Source organism: Homo sapiens, chromosome 3 (assembly GCF_000001405.40).
Source record: "Homo sapiens chromosome 3, GRCh38.p14 Primary Assembly".
Lineage (NCBI taxonomy): Eukaryota > Metazoa > Chordata > Mammalia > Primates > Hominidae > Homo > Homo sapiens.
Genome location: NC_000003.12, coordinates 70,193,776 through 70,214,967, shown reverse-complemented (window position 1 = coordinate 70,214,967; position 21,192 = coordinate 70,193,776). Strand labels below are relative to the sequence as shown.

At 37.9% G+C, this 21,192-nt stretch overlaps 1 protein-coding gene and 1 long non-coding RNA gene across 7 annotated transcripts in view; one reads left to right on the top strand and one right to left on the bottom strand.

Moving 5' to 3' along the window:
- The window catches only part of MDFIC2 (MyoD family inhibitor domain containing 2), a 118,160-nt gene extending 97,671 nt beyond the window's left edge, over window positions 1-20,489 (top strand). For both annotated transcript variants that reach the window (NM_001364677.1, NM_001364676.1), the window contains 2 exons: window positions 8,178-8,399; window positions 17,783-20,489. In NM_001364677.1, the coding sequence (NP_001351606.1) occupies window positions 8,178-8,399; window positions 17,783-18,042 (482 nt within the window). In that variant the 3' untranslated portion in view covers window positions 18,043-20,489. The remainder of the gene's footprint in view (window positions 1-8,177; window positions 8,400-17,782) is intronic.
- Window positions 1-21,192, bottom strand: part of SAMMSON (survival associated mitochondrial melanoma specific oncogenic non-coding RNA) — a 435,002-nt gene that overhangs the window by 219,622 nt on the left and 194,188 nt on the right. For 2 of the 5 annotated variants that reach the window (NR_186029.1, NR_186028.1), the window contains one exon: window positions 9,818-10,484. The exons of the other annotated variants lie outside the window; for them this stretch is intronic. This is a non-coding gene — a long non-coding RNA (survival associated mitochondrial melanoma specific oncogenic non-coding RNA). Of the gene's footprint in view, window positions 1-9,817; window positions 10,485-21,192 lie in introns of those variants that run through there. 5 annotated transcript variants of the gene reach the window in all.

Below are 21,192 nucleotides of genomic sequence, written 5' to 3'. Positions count from 1 at the left end.
TTGGCTTCATTTATTTTTTCAGAGCCCTAAACCTATTATTAATCCAAGTGCATCAAACTATAAAAACTGCTAACTATTTTTTTCTCAGATAACATAATCTTTATTTCTTGAGACACTTTTTACAAACATTAAACTGAAGGTAACTGCATAAAAATGAAATGGAGACTCATAATTGCAAACTGCTTTCATGTCTGAAGAAGATTCAACTATCTCTTAGGAGTCAATTGTTCCTCGTTACCAGCTTATGATCTAGCTATAAAAGTACATCACTTAGCCTATGTCTGTCTACAGGTGCAAAGTATAGTGGCGGGCAGAAAACTGAAGTAATTATCCAGAATAGTTAGATAAAAAAAAAAAAAAGCCCACTTCAGCCCCCAAAAATTGAAGTTGCTTTGCAGGTGTTGGGGAAGCTTGGGGAGGGGGCCATGCTCAGCCTTCTTCCCTCAGTTCTTTTGTACTCTTTAATCCTTTTCACCTTGAACACTCACTTCTATTATTTCTGGAGGAATAATATACTTTAGCCTTTTCTCTCTTTTTAAAAAAGATTTACCAAGCCTGATTGAAAAGGCTTAAAATGTCCTCTTGTCGTAGCCCTTGATAAACATTTCATCTAACGTTTCTTGAGGCAGGGTTTTAGTTGAAGTGCTACAGAAGACAAATCAAAACAACGATTTATACGACTGTGACTTTAACTTGAAAGTCTTTAAAGGACGTCTTCCAACCAGAGCTGCCATTTGAAAATTAAAGAAAAAATGTCAAATATATGTATCTTATTTATCCTCCCTCCCCAATTAGATTTAATGAACCCAAGGTTTTGTCTTATCCAATCTATCAGGATGTAGCAATTGAATACTCCATAGTTACTTATTTCCATTCATTTCAAAAAGGTGAGGAAATTTTAGAAGCCTTCATCCCTCAACTGGAGAAAATTATCCACTCAGCTTTATTACCCAGCTTTCAAAGAAGAAAATATATTTTTTCTTGAAAACATAGCTTCTTTGGGTATCAATCACCTTTTATTATGCTTTTCTCAATGTCAAGAAATCTTCCTCTTCCTAATTTTGTTCTGTCTTCAGCCATAGTATGTTTTCAAATTTTACTCAATATAAAAATAATAGTGATCTACACATGTAAAGAAAGATGATTCTGACCCTGGCTGATAATTTTCACCACGTTTGATCATGTTGAATGATTTCCTGTATTTTATATATTGTATTATTACCTACCAAGCTGCAGAGAGTATAATCATACATTTTAACAACAAAAATCACCTCTAACATTTGAATGAACTTCACAAAATTTTCATACAAAGGAAAAAAACTTTTTTTCTCTATACAGTGTCACTTCAATTAACTCCTTTTACTAACCACAATAATTTGTTAATGGTTTGGTAGCTTATACCTTGAAATGTCACTTGTCTGCCTTGGTCTGATTTCAGCCACGGATAACTACAGTACTAAATTCTAAGCTGGAGTATAGTTTAAATCCAAGGGAAAACATAATTCACCATTATAGCTTAAAAAATGGTCTATACGTTTGAAATATACACTCATTTTAAATGTTTTGGCCTAGAACTAAAATTAAAATCACCCTACCTTAAAGTCTTATCTAATAATTTTCATATACTCTTCTGGAGTTTACTGCTCACAAGAAAAACTTAGCAACAAGCTACCTGTTTCCACAGGCAACTTGGCAATAGAATTTGTAGGTTAAATGAGAATAAAAAGATCTACTCAGGAGGCTGAGGTGAAAGGATCACTTGAGCCCAGGAGCTCTAGTCCAGCCTGGGAACATATCAAGAACCTGTCTCTATAAAGAAAAACAAAATAAAGAGAGACAGAGGAGGGAGAGAGAATGAAGGCCAGACATGGTGGCTCATGCCTGTAATCCTAGCACTTTGGGAGGCCAAGGCAGGTGAATCCCTTGAGCCCAGGAATTCAAGACCAGCCCAGGCAGCATGGTGAAACCGAGTCTCTGCACAAAATACAAATAATAATAATACTATAATAAGCTTGCTGTGTTGGTGCACGCCTATAGTGCCTGCTACTCAGGAGACTGAGATGGGAGGATCACCTGAGTCTGGGAGGTTGAAGCTGCAGTGAACTGTGATTGCACCACCACCACTGCACTCCAGCCTGGGTGACAGAGTGAGACCCTGTCTCAAAAAAAGAGAGAGAAAATGGGAAAATATTCAGGTAATAGTGAGCCATTAATACTTGTGTGTGTGTGTTCATGATGTGTGTGTTTTGCTTTCTTTATGACTAATATGACGAGAAGAATATTGTCCAAAGTATAATTTTGATTATAATGCATAAGATATCTTGAAGAGAGTTGTCACTGTATTCAGAGCCAATGACTGCTGAAAAAGAGTCCAGATGTGAGGGCAGAGAAGATTAAATCTGAGTGGCAGTAATGGAAATGAAAAAGCAGACACGGACTTGAGAGATGTTTAGTAGGAAGAATAAATAAGAACTTGTAAATGATTGGATGGAGGGACAGGGCCAGTCAAATAATAGTTTTAAGCCCAGGGAACTGGAAAAATGACAATACAATAAAGACAAATTGAACTGTGAATTCTCCAGGGATAGCCAGAGTTATTCCAGTTTGGGGAGAAGAATGAGGGGCTTAGTAGAAAGAGGCATCATAATTGAAAGGATTTCGCTAGTTACCCACAAAAAATGTCCAATAGACAGTTACAAGTGTGAAGCTGTAATTTGTGATTACTGTGAGCTTCTTGAGGACTGAAACCATTTGTTGTGCTTCTCTGAATTCTGCAGTGGTTAGCGCAGTGCCAGGAGTGTAGTTTATGCTTGGCAAATATTGCCTGCATCTTTGGATGGCTGGATGAAGATTTAGTGGCCAACTTCACAAAGAAATCAATGACGATGTGAGTGTGGACAAATACGGCCTTCAAGGGCAGGGTAGGAAGAAAGAAACTAAGAGGACAAAGTCTTAAGGAAAAAATACATGGAAGGAGCTGGAGGATAGCAGAAGCTGATAATGGAGATGGGCTAGGTCAGTCAAGGAATTACACCAGAGAGGGAGAAGGAAAGGACAAAGGAAAGGAAAGGACAAAGGGAAGGGAAGAAGGGAAGGGAAGGGAGAAAGAAAAGCAGAAAGGAAGGAAAAGGAAAAAGGAAAAAGGGAAGGGAAGGGAAGGGTAAGGAAAGGAAAAGAAAGGAAAGGAGAGGAAAGGAAAGGGAGAAAGAAAAGCAGAAAGGAAGAAAAAGGAAAAAGAGAAAGGAAAGGAAGGGAAGGGAAGGGCAAAGGGAAGGGAAGGGAAAGGAAGGAAAGGGAAGGGAAAGGGAAGGGAAGGGAAAGGCAAAGGGAAGGGAAGGGAAAGGAAGGAAAGGGAAGGGAAAGGCAAAGGGAAGGGAAGGGAAAGGAAGGGAAGGGAAGGGAAGGGCAAAGGGAAGGGAAGGGAAGGGAAGGGCAAAGGGAAGGGAAGGGAAGGGAAGGGCAAAGGGAAGGGAAGGGAAGGGAAAGGAAGGGAAGGGAAGGGCAAAGGGAAGGGAAGGGAAAGGAAGGGAAGGGAAGGGAAGGGCAAAGGGAAGGGAAGGGCAAAAGGAAGGGAAGGGAAAGGAAGGAAAGGGAAGGGAAGGGCAAAGGGAAGGGAAGGGCAAAAGGAAGGGAAGGGAAAGGAAGGAAAGGGAAGGGAAAGGCAAAGGGAAGGGAAGGGAAGGGCAAAGGGAAGGGAATGGAGAAAGAAAAGCAGAAAGGAAGGAAAAGGAAAAAGGGAAAGGAAAGGAAGTGAAAGGAAGGGGGAAAGGAAAAGGAAAAGAAAAAAGAAGGGAAAGGAAAATGGGAAAAGAAAGGAAGAAACAAGAATAGAATCAGAGGACCTAGTACTTATTCATCATTTGAATGCTTTTATCTATGAAGAGTCAAATGAGAGAAAACATGGATGCAAAAATTACAAAGTCACATTTAGTGATCAAAAATGAAAATCATTAAAACGTTTTCTTAATAACTTAGAGTAAATAAATTAATAGCTCCTGTCACATTGATTCATCTGTTGCATGTGGGTACTCAATAAATGTTAATTGAATTAAATTAATAACATTTGCTCAACAGTAATAAAAACTTAACTAGCTGTCTATCTTTTCTCTGACTTAAGTTTATGTCCATTTGTTCTTGCAATTACCTGTAGCCCAAACTGTTTAACATTCACTTTAATTTTTTTCCAAGAAATATAGATGAGCTTCTATTTTTTGTCCTAATTTTGGTTTGTTTTTAACTATTGGTAAAAATTATTTTCTCTAAATTAATGTCAAGAACTATGAATAACATCCCAAATATAGTTTCACGAGTTCCTTATTTAACTCTAAAATAATTTTCTCTACAGAAGATATGACACTACTTTTTATGTTTCTACTTTGAGCTTATGCTACTTTACAGTACTTTGGGTGCAATGTCGAATAATACAATAAAGGAAGGAATCTGAATCTGATGAAATTATTGTTAGCATCATCTATAAAAGATGGAAGATGTCAGTAACATTCACCCAAAAATTGTGACTCACTTCAGATGTCAGAATTCTGGGTTGAACAGACTGGGTTCTCAAATGTGTGTATGTCAGATGATTTTCTAATGAGCAACAGATAGTTCCCACTGAGGAATGAGAAAAAATAAAAATATAAACAGAGATATAGAATTAAAATAACTTTATGAATGGCAGTTTAACTTCTCCATAAAATTCTCTCAGTACAAGCCTAGTGTGCTCCAAATGGTTGCTTAATGTAGCACACCACTTACATTCAAAATGCTATACTTAAAATTGTCACAAAATTAAAAAGAGAATCATATACCACTTGGCTGTATACTGTATTCGCCGCATGTTCTTACATTCCAGTAACCTCTATCCAACTTTTTTTTGTTACTGAATTACTTTGTGCAAAAGCAATTTAAATTACATGCAGCCTGACTACGTGTGATAATTTGAACTGATTGTTAATTAATTCTGTTAAGTAAATAGCTGCTGCAATCTCCATACTCATCAAGGTCTCGTTATCTATCAGCTCTTTCTGAGCTACTCTCTAATGTATGGGATAAAGCAGCTGTAATGGAACAAGAAGGATTCCCTGAGTGTGCAAAGAAGGTAGTTTTGCTTTGCAAAGACTGCTAAGGGAAAGGCGAGTGTGTAAAACCCAGCTATTTGCAAGGCTCGATTTTGGGCAGGTGACACATCACAGTATTTAGGGTGAGGAGGTTTTGCTGATGTGCAGTCTCAGCAGTTAGGAAGGAGAGATAAAAGCTAAGAATAAATCAGAGAAAACATTGCATAATATAAAAGGGAAAAGGACAAGCACAAAGCTTTTGGAATCTACCAGGCCTAGATTTGAATCTCAGTTCTACTACTGAATAAGGAGGAGGCCTTGGACAATTTACCTAAATAAACTCTGTAAGCCTTGGTTACCTTCATTCATCTGCTAACTGGGGATACCCATTCATACATTTCCCATCTGTTCAAGGAGGCTAACAATATCTACCTCCTAGACTCTTTGTGATGCTTAAGTTCAATAAGGTATATAAGCGGTAACATAGAACTTGACATAAGATACACGCCACTCTGTGTGTGTTCGTGTGTGTGTGTGTAAAGCAGTGCTTTTCAACCACAGTGATTTTGTCCCACAAGGGAAATGCAGCAATATCTACAAACATTTTTCATTGTCATGAGCTAGAGGGTCAGGTGCTACTAGCATCTAGTGGATAAAAGACTACGATACCACTAAACATCCTACAATCTCTCCATGCCAAAAAATTATCTGGCCCAAAATATTGATGCTGTTCTTAGTGTTCTAAGACATCATTTGAATGTCCATCTATCTGCAATATTAGCTGATTACTGGATGCCTTGATACCCAAGTAAGAAAAATAAACTAATTATGATTTTCATCACCATCATCATCATTATATCATTAATTTGGTGAATCCCTCTTGGGTTAGAGGAAGCCTAGTGTTCTCTCATCTGTAGGGCTGATTCCACTTCAATATTCAATACTACATTAATTGCTTTCAACGACAGATGTTTTCTTGAATCCCTATTTCTGCCAATCCCTTTTATGGTGGATGAAACCACAACCAAGAAATTTAAAGCCAGCACATAAAAGGAAGAGAATAGAAATTAAACACTGTTGAAAACCAAGGCTGTTTGGAGGATCAGAAAGAAACAAAAATGACCTAAGACAGTTGTGTATTACCAGACTGATAGTTCTGGTGCCAGTTAGGAGTCTTTGGAAAGCAACCATCTTAAGATTGGTTTCTGAAAATCACTGATGCACAAGTCAGTGGGCTGTTCTCTCTCTTTTTCTTGTCTCAAATGCAGAAGATCCCTGGCATCGTGGTTCCCAAACTTGTCTACATGTCGGAATCACCTGAGGAGCTTCAAAAATTCTCCCATCCCACCAAGGATTGTGATTTAATTGGTCTCCTGAATAGGGGAATACCAGAGCTTTAAAAATTCTGAATTTTAAAAAGATTTTCCAGGTGATTCTACTCTGCAGAAAAGTCTAGAACCCATTGCCTTAGAAAGCAGAACCCACTAGACATTTCCATTGGCCCTAAACTAAGAAACAACCTTGGAAAGGGAAATAAAGATGGACTTGGCAAGAATATGTTCCTTGCACTGAGCTGCATAAGCATGGTAAAATCAAACCAGGTTGCCAATTGTATTATCAATTTCAGTAACTCAATGAGCATTATTGAACCAACCAGGCATTGCGTTAACAATGGGAATGCAATTCCCAAGGACACCTCTTGACCACGTCCCAGTTGTGCCACCAAACCACGAGGACTGTTGCTTGTTCAGGTTTTAAGTTGTTCCTGGGCATCATCAGCCTGTAAGGAAGTTATAAGCTAACTGCACCATGACCCAGTCTGGTCCTCTCTCTAACATGATTTTATGATATGCTTCTCTTTTATACACTTCTCAATCCTGTAACTTTCAGTTATTTCTTTGACGATTTGTTTGATGCTCATGAAGGTCAAGGTCCACGCCTGTCTTAGTCATCCCTCTATCCCCAATATACAGCCCAGCGCTTGTTGCAGAGCAGACTCCCAATCATTACATGGCAGGAGAATGCATACAGTTGTCCCTCAGTGTCTGAGGGGAACTGGTTCCAGGACTCCACAGATATCGAAATTTTCAGATGCTCAGGTCTCTAATATAAAATGATGTGGTATTTGCATATAACCTATGCATATCCTCCCATATACTTTACTTGACCTTTAGATTATTTATCATACCTAATACTATGTAAATGCTATGTAAGTGGTTGTTATACTGTATTGTTTTTTATTTGTATCATTTTTATTGTTACATTGTTATTTGGGGAGCTTTTTCTGAATATTTTCAATCTGTGTATCTAGGATTTGTTGTATTGGGGATGTGAAACCCACAGATACGGAGGGCCAACTGTATAGGAGATGTAAAATACATACAACGCTTGGGGCTTCTCAGCCTTCTCTATGGCTCTCCAAACCAGAATTTCAGTCAAGAACTTCGCTAGAAATTCCCTGAACATCTCTAGCTATTGTGCCAGACAGTTATGTGGAAATAAAGCATGTTCCCAAGAAGCATATCCCCAAAGCCATACAGGCTATCACCTGAATAGGAACTTAAATACCAAGGCAGAGAAAGCCACTGTGAGGTTATGAGGACAGAAGCAGGAATGAGCTTATAGACTATTCATTTATATGCATTTTTCTTTTTACAGAGGAGGAAAATGAGGTTTGTAAAAACAAAGTAATAAAGTGACTTGATTGAGCTCATATGAATAACTCAGCAGTATTGCCCACCACATAAGATCCTTATCCTTTTCCTCAGATTAATAATACTCTGTGACAGGAGGCTGACAATGTACTATGAGATTTTGTTGATCCAAGTGAATGAATTGCTTGATTCTCCCTACTTATTACCAAAAAAAAAAAAAAAAGTAGAAATAAGTGTTACAAATTACCATGATAGGTAAAGTTTGCAATGTGTATAAAATTTTATAATGATTGCACTCTTCTTTCTCATATTTTTATTCAAAATTGTCTTGCTCAATAATACTTCATTTGTTTTCTTAAGACTTTAATCTTAGGAAAGTCAAATGTGAAAATTTCTGCATTCTTAGGTCACTAGGTCACGTAAACCATAGTGGGTTTCTGTATGTGTTTTTTCTTTTTTCCTCTAGATACGCAACTCACGAATGCAAAGCATGCAGATGAGAAACCCATTAATGCTATTGTTATAAATTCAGTATCTGACTTCAATATCACAGATGGACCAGCCAAGGAAAACCCCAATGAGAAAAAACTGTCAGAATCCAGCACATCACTGTCCTCCCTTGAAGAATGCCAAACAACATTTTCTTACCTCCAAACTGATACTTCAGTTCATCACAGAGACACTGATGGTATGTTTCTCAGAATTCAACCCATCTCTAAATAAAGCTCCCAACCCCCATCCCCTGTAAAATCATCACATATGCTGTTAGGAAAAAAAAAGTCCTTATGAATATTAAACACGAAGACTTCGATTTGAAAACTCTGGTGAATGACATATGTCAAGGTCACTTTGCAGTTATGAGGCGCTTGGCAGATTGTTTGCTCTCAAAGCTGGGAATCAGAGGCAACATGTTTTAAATAGCTGGGGTGGAACATAATCATTATTGCTATGGGGCTATGAGGCAGATAAAGAAAAATGGCAAACTTCTTTCTCTCCTCAGACATGGAACTATTCAGTCTATAACTCTAGTCAGAGAAAAGAAGGCAGAGAGAAATAGTATTAAAATGCCGGAAATATATAAATATAGACAGCATAAAAAATTAAGATGTTTACATCTTAATCTATGAGATTAAGCAATCTCATCAGCAATCTATGAGAAAGGAGTGGTTCCCCTGGGTATTATCCATAGGCATCCTGATCAGTGCAAACCTAGACCCAATCATCCCTATATATGACATAAAGAGTACATTTCGTTTGCAAAGCCAATTTCAAATTGTTTTGGTGCTAAATAAACAATCAGCCAAACAAAGTTCAAAATTATGGACTCCACACCAAGATATGGAATTTTACTTAGGTTAACTTTGCAATGACCTTTACAGGAGAAAAACCATTCAAGATTTTGTAGTGTTCAGTATCTACATTAGCATTTAAAGAAAGCCTGGAGTTTCTCAAAGGAAAATGTAACAAGGTATGGTTTCTGGTCTACATTTAAATACATATTTACTTTTTGAAAATAAGAAAAAAGATTAAATAAACTTTGAATAACAGCACCTTTGGAATCACATCAGTTTCACTTCTGCCTCTGAAGTCTATTAACTGTACAGTACTGGACACGTTTTTTAAATTTACCATCTCTAAATTTTAGTCTCTGATTATATGATAGGCTAGTTCACACCATGGGGTATGTTGGGGATCAAAAAAAAATAACGTATAAAGCACCTAGTACAAAAGTTGGTACACAGAAGGTACTCAATTTCAGCCATGATTGTGATTACATTTTTAGAAAGTAAGGAAGATTTCTATCATATATTATGTATGTGGTGTCTTGTGCACATGTTGTCATGAATGCTTTAGGCCAGAAACTACAGGCTTAATTGCCTGTAGTTGCCTGCAGATAATATGAATACTAAGTAGGCTGGAAGTAAACAACAGGGATTGGTGAGGACTATGGCAAGCTGGAGAGCACATGGCTCATCTAAATGTCACTACCTCGACACAGTACCAGCTGATTGTTGCCAGAAGGAAATACAGGGCCAGAGTTGCCAGATATTGAAGTTTTCCAAGAAAATCCAGAGACCAGGAGTGTTATGTAAAATTTCTAAGTTTTCCAGGGTTGATAATTACTTTTATTTATTTTTTCAAAGCTCAAGGTACTCCCAACAACACATCGTTGGGCCAACTTTGACCTGTAGCTATCAGATTATGACTCTGAATTCAGGATGATGCTCAAGTCTCTAGCTTTGGTAGAGATTAATGCCAGTCAAGAAAACAGGTAATGGCAGAGAGGCCTCTACAAAAGCATCTTGATGCTACAGCATTTTATCAAATTTTACCAGGAGTGTGTGGATGCTACTCATCATGTGAATAATTGAATTAAGTTAAATCCCAGAACTGGGAATTGCCATTGTACATATCCACAGTGAAACATACTTTCCCTCCAGAATCACTCTGATCTGACCTATCAGGGATACTGGAGGAATAAGAGGGGCCAAGCCAACTAGCATGACACCTAACTCTTGTATTATCAGGAAAGGGCCCAAATCACTACTTCATTAAAATGGCAACTGACACTCAAGAGCCCCATTCAAAAAAAAAAAAAGAAAGAAAATAGCTGACTACTCTTCATTCAAAGAGCAAAGGAGATCCATGAAGATAATTAAATTAGGTCATTTCCAAGAAATTCAGGTTGTAAGCTGACCACCTAGGTGATAGTCCACTTGTCCTTTTCCTCCCGTGTGAAAAATCTCCCCGGTGAAGTAAGAGCTTTTGGTACCTGGATAAAAGAGAAAGGAAAAGAAGCCAACCTAAGACCCACAAAGAGTGATAAGAAACTCTCATTATCCTAAACAGCAAACAACAAGGAAAACAAGAGTTAAGTCAGACTCACTCCATTTTAGAGAATTTTCGATAGTAATTGTAATTAATTTAAGGATGCAGAAATTGAGAGCTGGGGTCATTGTTCGTACTGAGATAAATACAGAAATATCTTTCAGGAACAGCAGGGAAAACAGAAGGGAAAAGAGAATACTGCATCCACTTTCATGTAGTTTGTGGCTAATTTATTTTCAAATGTATAAATGAGTGCATAGTAATAGATGCTTAATTGCTAATATCTATTATTTATATACATTGCCCCACTTAAAACAGGATGGAAAAGCCTCACACATGCAGATTTTGTAAAATGTGTTACATCCATTAGCACAGTTCATGGTGTGTGCTCTGATGGGAATTTAAAAGGATCTTTACTGCACATCACACACTGTGTGCTGAAACATTACTTTATTACTAAATTGTGGTTCATCGTGTGTGGTCCCTTTCCTGAATAAAATGGAAAGTGTCCAGAGGACTATCCATGTCCCCACTTCTGTTTCTGCAAACTTCTGATTGTGAAAGCTTCTCTGTGGATAAGAAAGTCAGAAATATACATGATATTAGAAAACAGTCCCCTTAAAAATAATCCTGAGACTATACCTAATTGATGTATAATTTTGAATTTGAGACATCTCATCCAGGTGGAAGAGGAAAATCATAAATACAAGATACCTCAAAAGAATAGTCTTAATTACACCATGGACTACTGAATAAAATGATTACATTTTCTACACTGTAAATTTCATACAATTAAATGCACCAGTGTCACCTTATAAAATGTTTCAATTTTATAATTATTTCAGTTCATTTGCTCAGAAAAAAACATAAGCCCAAATTTACTTAGTATCACCCAAATCTAGTCATTCTAGTTCTAAAGAACTGACTTGAGTGTTAGTTGTGCTTGTCTGAACTTAAATAGATCTTGACATATTTAAGTAGCTATTAAAATTGATAACATCAGGGATGATACCCCAGCTAGAGAAAGGCATTCAATCACTCTTTATTTATTCCCATTCTACATTACAGACATTTTTTAAAGAACTCAGTGTGGGGGAGTGGGAACCGATTTTTACACTTTTGGAAACTTTTAGTAATCAGTGGATTCATTGTGTCATGAATCTCATTATGATGCTGAATTCTCTGTGATAACATATTAATGTATTAAAATACTGGCTTGGGGCTGGTATCATGCTGGCTCTTTTCTTTTTCTTTGCTTTGGGGAGGATGAGGAGGGATTGTGATTTGTCTGGGATCACTTCTGGGAGAATGATTCTTGCCACTTAGGATAAGGAGTCCTGGGGTAGCAGGAGGTGTGCTTCAGCAGCTCAGAAATGCTTCAGGAACTTCTGTGGGTGCTCTTATCCCTCCCACCTCCTAATCATGGGCACCAAGGTGACAAGACCCAAAGTTGGGAGGGCAGAATCAGGGAGTGCAAGACTGCAGCCATGAGGCTCCCCTCAAACACACTTGTGGAACCTCCTTGGATTGCCACCTTTTCCACTCTAATTAAAGATGATGCTTTCTAGTGAGAGAGATTCTCCCTCCTAATTAGCCAGTCCCCAGTTGTACATTTAACACCTCTGGAAGCTGTGTTAATTCTTCAGTGTCATTAGGGTATCACTTTGCTCATCACAGCCTCCATGTCCTAAAGGTACCCTGGGGTGTAGAAAGGAAATGAAGCCCAAAGGGGTTTTTGTCATGGCTTTTTGCTCCCAGCAAAACACCACTGTTGACTGTGCAGCCTGCAGGTCTCTGATCCATCTTAAACCTTCTTTAATTCAGGTTTAAGGAATAGGAAAGCCAGGTGGGCACTTCAATAGCAGTGATTAGAGCCTGTGCCAGGATGCCAGGTGTTCTATAGAGGAGATTTAATATACAAAGAACTTGTGACAAAGGTTTTAGAAGAGCAGAAAAGTCAAATACAGTGAACAGTAAGCTACTCAGATATTAGCAACAACAAGAAGGCTCTCCCACCTCTTCCTTTTGTCCCTCCAGACTACTAGTGCACTGGTATGAACTTGGAGACCACTAGTACTAACTGTTGTCAGATAGACTACTAGTCACTAACCACTATCAGATAGAGCACTAGTTACTAACCATTATCAGAAAGACCACTAGTCACTGACCACTATCAAATAGGCCATTAGTCACTAACCATTAGCAGATAGACCACTAGTCACTAACTGTTATCAAATAGACTACTAGTCACTAACCATTACCAGATAGACCACTAGTCAGTCACCAATCACTATCAGATAGACCACTAGTCACTAACCACTATTAGAACACTAGTCACTAACCACTATCAGATAGACCACTAGTCACTAACTACTATTAGACCACAGTCACTGTGGTTAGCCAGAGCCACAGAGGGATATACATTCAGAGAGAGATAAAAGCAAAGAGAAGATAAAACCACTGCCTAAGACACCACCCAAAGCAAAGAGCAGGAGGAGAAGCACCCTGAATTTTCTCTTCCTCCCATCTTGCAGGTTCCAGTTACTGCCTTCTACTGGCTGAATCTAGACAGAAGCCACTAAGAGCAAGTGGAAAATGATCTTTGCCAGTCTTGGGAATCCAGCACAGAGGAGGGCAAGAGGAGGGAATGGAGAGGGAAGCAGGCCATCAAGAAGCTGGTAGTGGCCTGTGCCATGCTCAAGTGTGTCAGAAGGAAACTGGGAGCATATTATGGAAGGCAGGTTGGATTCCTAGTTAAAAACTGTGGAGGAGTCAGTCTGGTTCAAATTACAGTGCTGCAATAGCCTATGTTTCCTGGGGCATGCCTCTTAAACACTCTTTGCCTCAGTTTCCTCATCCATAAACAGGGATCATAATAGTACTCAACTCAGGGTGATCTGGAGGCCTGTGTAAGCTGTATGTGGAGGCCTGCACAAAATTTGCAATAGCAAAGACATGGAATCAAACTAAATGTCCATCAATGATAGACTAGTTAAAGAAAATGTGGTACATATATACCATGGAGAACTACACAGCTGTAAAAAAGAACAAGATCATGTCCTTTGCAGGAACTTGGATGGAGCTGGATGCCATCATCCTTAGCAAACTAGCACAGAAACAGAAAACCAAACACCACATGTTCTCACCCATAAGTGGGAGCTAAATGATGAGAACACATAAACACAGAGAGGGGAACGACACACAATGGGGCTTATTGGAGGGTGGAGGGTGAGAGGAGGGAGAGGATCAGGAAAAATAATGAGTACTAGACTTAATACCTGGGTGATGAAATAAACTGTCCAATAAACCTCCATGACACAAGTTTACCTATGTAGCAAACCAGCACATGACCCCTGAACTTAATAAATGTTAAAAAAAGAATTTAAATAAGTAAAAAAAAAAAGTTACAAAACAAAGGTTCTAAATATAGAAGGAGAAGAGAAATGAACACCCACCCCCACCCCAAAAAAAGTATAGAGGGCTGTAGATTGGCTTTTGGCAAAATAGTTGACACATATAACAGTGGGATAGAGACCACAGGCTTTGGATTCAGAAAGACTTAGATTTGAATCTCTGCTCTACGATCTTACAGTTGGTAGGATTTAGGACAGTCAGAAACAATCCCTGAACCTTAGTCCTTGCATCTAAAAAATGAGGATTACAATATTTACTTGTTAGAATCATTCATTGATTTAGTCAGTCAACCAGAGAGAGAGATATGGCTTTCTTGCCTCTTGCAACGTAGATTCTAATAGGAGGAGGTAACAAACTAATTAGTTTCATGCCATCGTATGGTCAGTGCTATGAAGAAAAAATAAAACAGATTGCTGTGAGAGTTTCAGCAAGGATGTGATTTAAAGGGAAGGTGTTTAAAGCTAAAAACTTAAATGTTTGAATAGGAGTTGGGTGAAGTTGAGGGGCAGGAGGGTGTGCAATGCAGGCAAAAACACAGCATGTGCAAAGGCCCTGAGCCATGTGCATTCCAAATACTGCAATTTAGTCAGTGTGGCTGGAGTGCTGTGAGTGTGAAGTAAGTAAAGTAGGTCCAGAAGTCAGAGAAATAGGCAGGAATCCAATCATGCAAGGGCTTGTAGGCTAAGGCAAGGATTTGGCACTTTTCTCTAAGGGGAGAGTGAGTTGTTTAAATTTAGAATTAAAAATACTGAAGGAGCTGATGAATTTGAAGCGGGCTCATGTGGAAGCAGAGTGTCCTTGCCAGGAGGCTATTGCTGTTGACCTGCTGGTGGCTGATGGTGGCCAGAGCTAAAATGGTGGCCCTGCAGGTGGTGAGCAGCTTGTGGATTTCGAATACGAATTTGAGGTGGAAACAGCAGGACTCAGCAATGAATTGCATGGGGAAGGTATGATGAGGAAAAGCAAAATGACAAAGAATGACTACCAGGTTTCTGCCGAATTCATCTGGGTGTTCAGAAGCCATCCATAAAAGAAAGTAGGAGGAGGAACAGATTTGTAGGACTGGGGAGAGAGAGATCCAAAATGCAGTTTGGCCTTGGTAAGTGAGATGTTTTGAAGACGTTGCAGAAGAGACGTGCAGCAGGCAATAGCATATATGGTATACACTTTTGGATGGGCTGAGAGAAGGGGTGCGAATCCTGGGATAGGACTTTGAATATCACATTTATTAAACATTAAAGCACCAGGAAATAGTGCAGGCAAAGAAAAATATACTCATTCAGGACAAGAGGAAATCCAACGCTCTTTTCAAACAGTTGCAAATTTTCCCCTGAACTGCTTGTGCAAACAAAAATTGGCCATATGCAAAACAGTTTTACCTGCTCATGTAGAACTATTTAACATGCCTTTTAGGAAAAGTGTGGAACTCACTTGAAAGATCGGAAAAATCTGTTTTCAATTCATTAATGTTACCATGTTGTTTTTGGGCAAGAGACTCTGCCTTTTAAAACCAAATAAAAAGGACTGACTTAGAAACAGAAAAAAATGGGCTCTATTCTCAAGTGCAAAATAGGGAGGTAGAAGGAAACAAGTGCCAATTTGGCCAAAGGATTAAGCCAAAACTTTTTTTTTTCTTTTGTAAATAAAATCTACAGTATACATTAGAAGAGGAGACCTCCAGAGTCTGCCAACTTGAGGAGACATTGGCAAGAGCAATTGAACCAAAAGGTTGTACACTCTCAGGAAATTATAAGACCACTTTACGAACAGGTCCTTCACACTCTGATAGGAAACACCAGCTCCAATCCTTAAGGTCACCTGCATTCCCACCCTACTTAACTCCAAAGCAAACTTTTAACCTTGCATGTATAAAGGACAGGATCCAGTGGACTCATTTTTATATGGTCATAAGCTTGAGTAAGTCTCTTGAGCATTCAGCCTGAGGGATCACAGAGTATTCACTTGGAGATTGTCTGCTGACAGCCTCTTCTTTGCCAGTGCAGCCACTGCTATAGTAGTGGTCTTCATATTGGTAAAACTCGATGAGGTTGTATGTCCCTCATCTTTGACCATCTTTTCCTTTTCAGAAAAGCATAGTTGAAACAGTCTATATACTATTACTAACTTACTCTTGCATTTTTGTGGGAGGTTTGTGGTGACTTATGAGATATGGGAGAGTTGGTCACACGCTAAAAGCTGGCTCTAAGTGAAGAAAAATACAGCAAATCTGGCAAAGAGATGAGTTTGTACACAGTAGAGGTATTGTGGAATATGCTGCCTGAACTATAAATACTGAGTAGTGGCCACAGCACCTGCAACAATATATGACAATTAAAGTAGTCATAACAGTCATGGTGTGGTTCTTTACCACCATCTTTCTGGGAAGAAAGGAAGGGAAGGTAAGAGAAAGAGGATGGAGAGAAAAAGAGGAAAGAAGAAAGATTTCTGTTTACTTATATTCAGGACTCACCTTATAACTTTATATAGTGTTTTTACAAGAAACCAAAGTGGCTTTCTTTAAAATATTTGTTCCTTTTCATAGGAAGTTTCCATATTTTTCTTTCACTTAAAGACTATTATATGAATAATGAAAGAAAAGAGCTTTCTGGAAAATAAAAGTAAATGAATACGGCGATAAGAGCACTTATACTGTAGGCAAAATCTCTTCTATATGCTTATATACTCCCCATTGACTAAAGTCTGAAAACCAAAGTTATTAGCATTCTTATTGGGAAAAATACAGATCCTTATGAAAGTCAAACTTAAATCAATTGATAAGCCCATCTAGAGGAGAAATTTTTTCTCTAATTCATGCTAGAATGTTACTTTCAATCATCAATAATCTTCAGATTACTGATTTTAATTAATTAGGTAATATATCACATGAACACTTACCTACCCTTTTACAAAGCACTCACACATTTTTTAGACTTTTTTAACTTAAAAGAAAGAAAAGTTAAAATTTTAACAAGAGAACTGCTACATCTTCTAACTAATTCCCTTTATGCAAACAAAAAACATAATAATCTATAACCCATCACAGCTGTTTGGCTAGAAATTACCAGTTACCTTCAATGCCTTAGAGATACTTTCCAGATTTTTACAAGCCTGTGTAGTAAATTTTTAAACCAATTTTCTTAAAGAGGATTGATAAGATTTAAAACCTTTTAGGCATATGATGACGTATTTCACTTAAACAACTTGAATATAAAATCAAGGCTTTACATAACTGGAGGGAAACGGAAACAGAGATTAAAAATAAAACACAACCCAAAAGCTGTGATTATTTTAAAAAGCATTTATATTAAGTTTTGAAATGTGCTTTTCGCTTGCACTGGAATATGGGTGTGGCAGATTTATGGGAATCCATGTCGAAAAATAACAAAGCCTAGTGACAAGAAACAGGGCATTTGTACAGTCTCTCCTTGTCCCCAATCCTAACTGCTTCTTAAGCCCCTTGTATTTGGGGAGTCCCTGCAATTTTTCAGACAGTTGCAAGGTTTCCAGAGAGGTAGCTAATTGTGTGGCTTCCCAGAGCCTTGCAGGCAAAGTAAATAAAGGAGTTTAGAAAACTGACAGCACTTTAAATAACCAGATTATGTCGAATCAATAGGAAATGCTCAGGAAGTTAATAAAGCAATTACTTAAGTAGAGTGAGTACTGACATGGGGGTGGGGGAGCTTGAGAGAAGAAGGGTGTACATTACCCCTAATGTGGATAAATAATTAAGAGTTGGCTATCAAGTTATCAAGTATCCCAGCACACATGCCTGTCCTTCATAGACGCCCCCAGATGTGCCACTATTAATTGGTCTTCTTCTTTAAACAGAGGAGTGTGCCTCCCTTATCCTCGCCTGTCTGTTTTGCCAGTTTTGGGACTGTCTCCTGATGCTCCCCGGCACCTGCGAAACGGTGTGTACCAAAATGTGCTGCCCCTCTCGCCGGTATCACCACACCTCGGATGAAAACCACTCTCGGAATGATTGCAGCTGCAATTGTGACATGGACTGCAGCCTTTTTGAATCTTGCCATGAGACCAGCGAGTGTCTGGAACTGGCCATGGAGATTTCAGAAATCTGTTACCGCTAGCACAGTGAAGTAACCACATTCCGGCAGTCCTTTTGGCCACGGTGGGAAATTCCATTACAACAAGACTGATTTCCATGTGCTGAAATGTAAGGACTGTACACATTTCTTGGATGCTATAGGCCATTTTATTCTGCACCTGTCTAGGAAAGCTAGTATTATCAACTCAATGGTCTTATTCCAAATTTCACAACCGCATGGCTCACTGAAAAATAAGATTCTTGATCACATGTGATGAACAAATCTTAAATACCTCTTAAATGCTGTAGGTACAAGATGTTTCTTGACTATAAAATAGCATGTTAAGCCACTGCGTTATTGCACTCATCAGCTTGCATTATGGATTCAACCTCATTCACAAATTCAGGACAAATTAGTGCATTCTTTTAGAATTGACATACATTAGCTCGTCTTTCTAATGGACTCATGCATAAACATTATGCATTGTTGGTTATTATTAATAATGTATTGTATAACATCATTTTGTAATTAAAAATTTATTTATACAGTCTCTTAAAATTCACTTATATGTACAGTTTAGGTAGGAAAGGGAATTAAATGAATTAGAAACCATGTTCCTGTAATTACAACAGATGTCTCTAAAACATCTCCAGTGAATTTTGAATATGGTGTACTTCAAGAGAGTACTATAATTCTAGACCATATTATTGTATGTCTATGACTATGTCATAACAGGTTATTCATATTCTTAATTCGTTACAGAAAGGCTCTTAGTTATTCTAATAAGCATAAATGAGAATTATGTGCAAGTTTCAAAAAAATCTCAATTCTTCACTTTCTTCATTTTTATTTGTCAGGTACAATAAGCAACAGGATATTAAAACAGATTCAGCTCATTTTACAAAACTATCATTTGTATAGACACCAGAAAGAAATAAGCGTTGAGGGTACTTATTCAGCACCAAGCTTCTTAATATAGCATGTGCTTCAGAAACCATGTTTTTCTTTGTCTGATAATTAAAGTGATCAATAATTATGTCAAGTACTTATTTTACTTATTTTTTTAAGAAAAAGATGTGATATAGACTGGAAAGTGATTTTCGACTCAAATAAGTTTAAACAGTTTGTGGTGAAAACACATCTAGGTTAAAGTTACTTTGGAATGTTCTTTACTTTCTGTAGAAACAATTCTATAGTCCTTGGGCAAATACATTGCTCATTACTTTGTGTTAATTTCCATGGATATATCTTAATATTTTCACTGAATATAAAAAAGCATCATGCATGAGTAACCAAACAAAGAACACAAAAGTGAAATGGAGAATTGAGGGAATTTTTTTGTGTGTAATTTAGGGAAACAGCAACAACAAAAGAAAGCTCCAAAATACCTGTTTTTTCCTGACTTAGGTAATTTCAGGCAAAATCACCATTTGCTTTATTTCTGTAGCAAACTAGCACATTTTTCCAATTTGAAATAAACTCTCCCAAACATTGAAAACTATTCATCTGTTAAAAATATTTGTAAACTGCCTCTAAAAAGGCATTTAACCACTCTCAACTTGCTCCTGGAAGTGCAGTGCACCCATGGTTAATGCTGATTTCATTCCTGTTTGATGACCATGTTATTCACAAACCACGGAGCATGAAAGTGCCCCACACCTTCCATGAAAAAGTCTTTCTGCTTTTCAGAAGCTCGAAGAAACAGCTCTATACTCAATGCATAGAACTTGTAGATCATTAGAAGAAAAAAAAATAGATTCCTAGAACAGGAAGGGAACATAAGGCTGTTCTTATGCAACCTTTTTATATTTCACAGGGGAAAAGAGAGGCCCCATGAACTGACTTATTCAAGACCACACAGTGAATTATTGGCAGTGTCAGGAACTCTAACTTGGGTTCTAATTTTCTGACTACCTGCACTACCCAATTCTCAGTCCAGCTGGTACTCAGTGGTGCAGGTGTTACAATTGTTAAAATACTAAAACACTACCAGACTGACTCATCAACAGTTGTTTCCTTGCACCTCCTAGTGCTTCCTTATGTCCCATCCCTCTTGGCTCCTCTCTGAGCACCCACCCCTCTACCCGTGGTCTAGTCACTAAAGGAGGAACACCTGGGGGTCTCTGGAACCCTATTCCTATAATATGGTACCTGGTATCATTGGTGAGGCCATGCCATATTGGTGTTAAATATTTCAATTATCATTCCCTTATTCTTTCTACTCTACATACCCTCAAATTATGCAAAGATTGTGCATTTCAAATGTGAATTGAATGCTTGTCAATTAGAGACATAAAAATCACCAGGTCTTATGTGGTAATGTGGTCAGAACACTACAAGATCTTTCTGTGGCCTTGCTTTCCACGGTTTGTTAACTTTGTTCCTCACTTTCAGAATTCACTGTGCTATAACAGAAAGGGTCGGTTATACAAAGTGTGAAATTTCTTTTCTTTATAACCAATAATAAAACATCATCCTTTTTGCAAACATGAATGGCTTTTTCAATTGAATTCTTACACAATAAAACATACGCAGCTGGGGAAATACAATTGCAGAAGTAAGGCAGATCAAAAAGGGATGTGGTTATTGATTAAATACAAATATCAGAATCTGAGAAGGCTCAGATATTTTCTGCAATGATGAAGGCCTGTGATTACAAATAAAGATAATGTTGTTCTTTAAGGTGGGACTTCTCAGGGAACAGAGTATTCTGATTTAAGGAAGCACACTCTTATAAAAGAGATTTAAGAACATACAATCTTTATATAGAATGAGGAACAGACATTTTTTTTCCTACAGCATTATAACGACATAGCTACATTGTCTTTGCTCTGCTCAATGGATTTTTTATAAAACCATTGCTTCTGTAAAAGCCGACAAAATATGGAAAGCAATGAAGATACGAAGTTACGTTTGACTTGCTAATGAAATTTTCCCACTACATAAGCTGATAGGCCTACAAAATTAATTATCAATGCTGGACAATCAAAGTTAATAGAGCGAAAGTCGCTTCAGTTTTTTTTCCAAAGGAGCAAGAAAACATCCAGGCAGAGAAACTTTATAAATAGGAAACATCATGGGAGGTCATATTAGCATTTTTTCAAGGATAAATGTATAGATGGAAATATTTGATAGGCAGAATTAATTACCCAATGCCTCTAAGTTTCTTTCTCTCAACAAAATGGAGAAAAA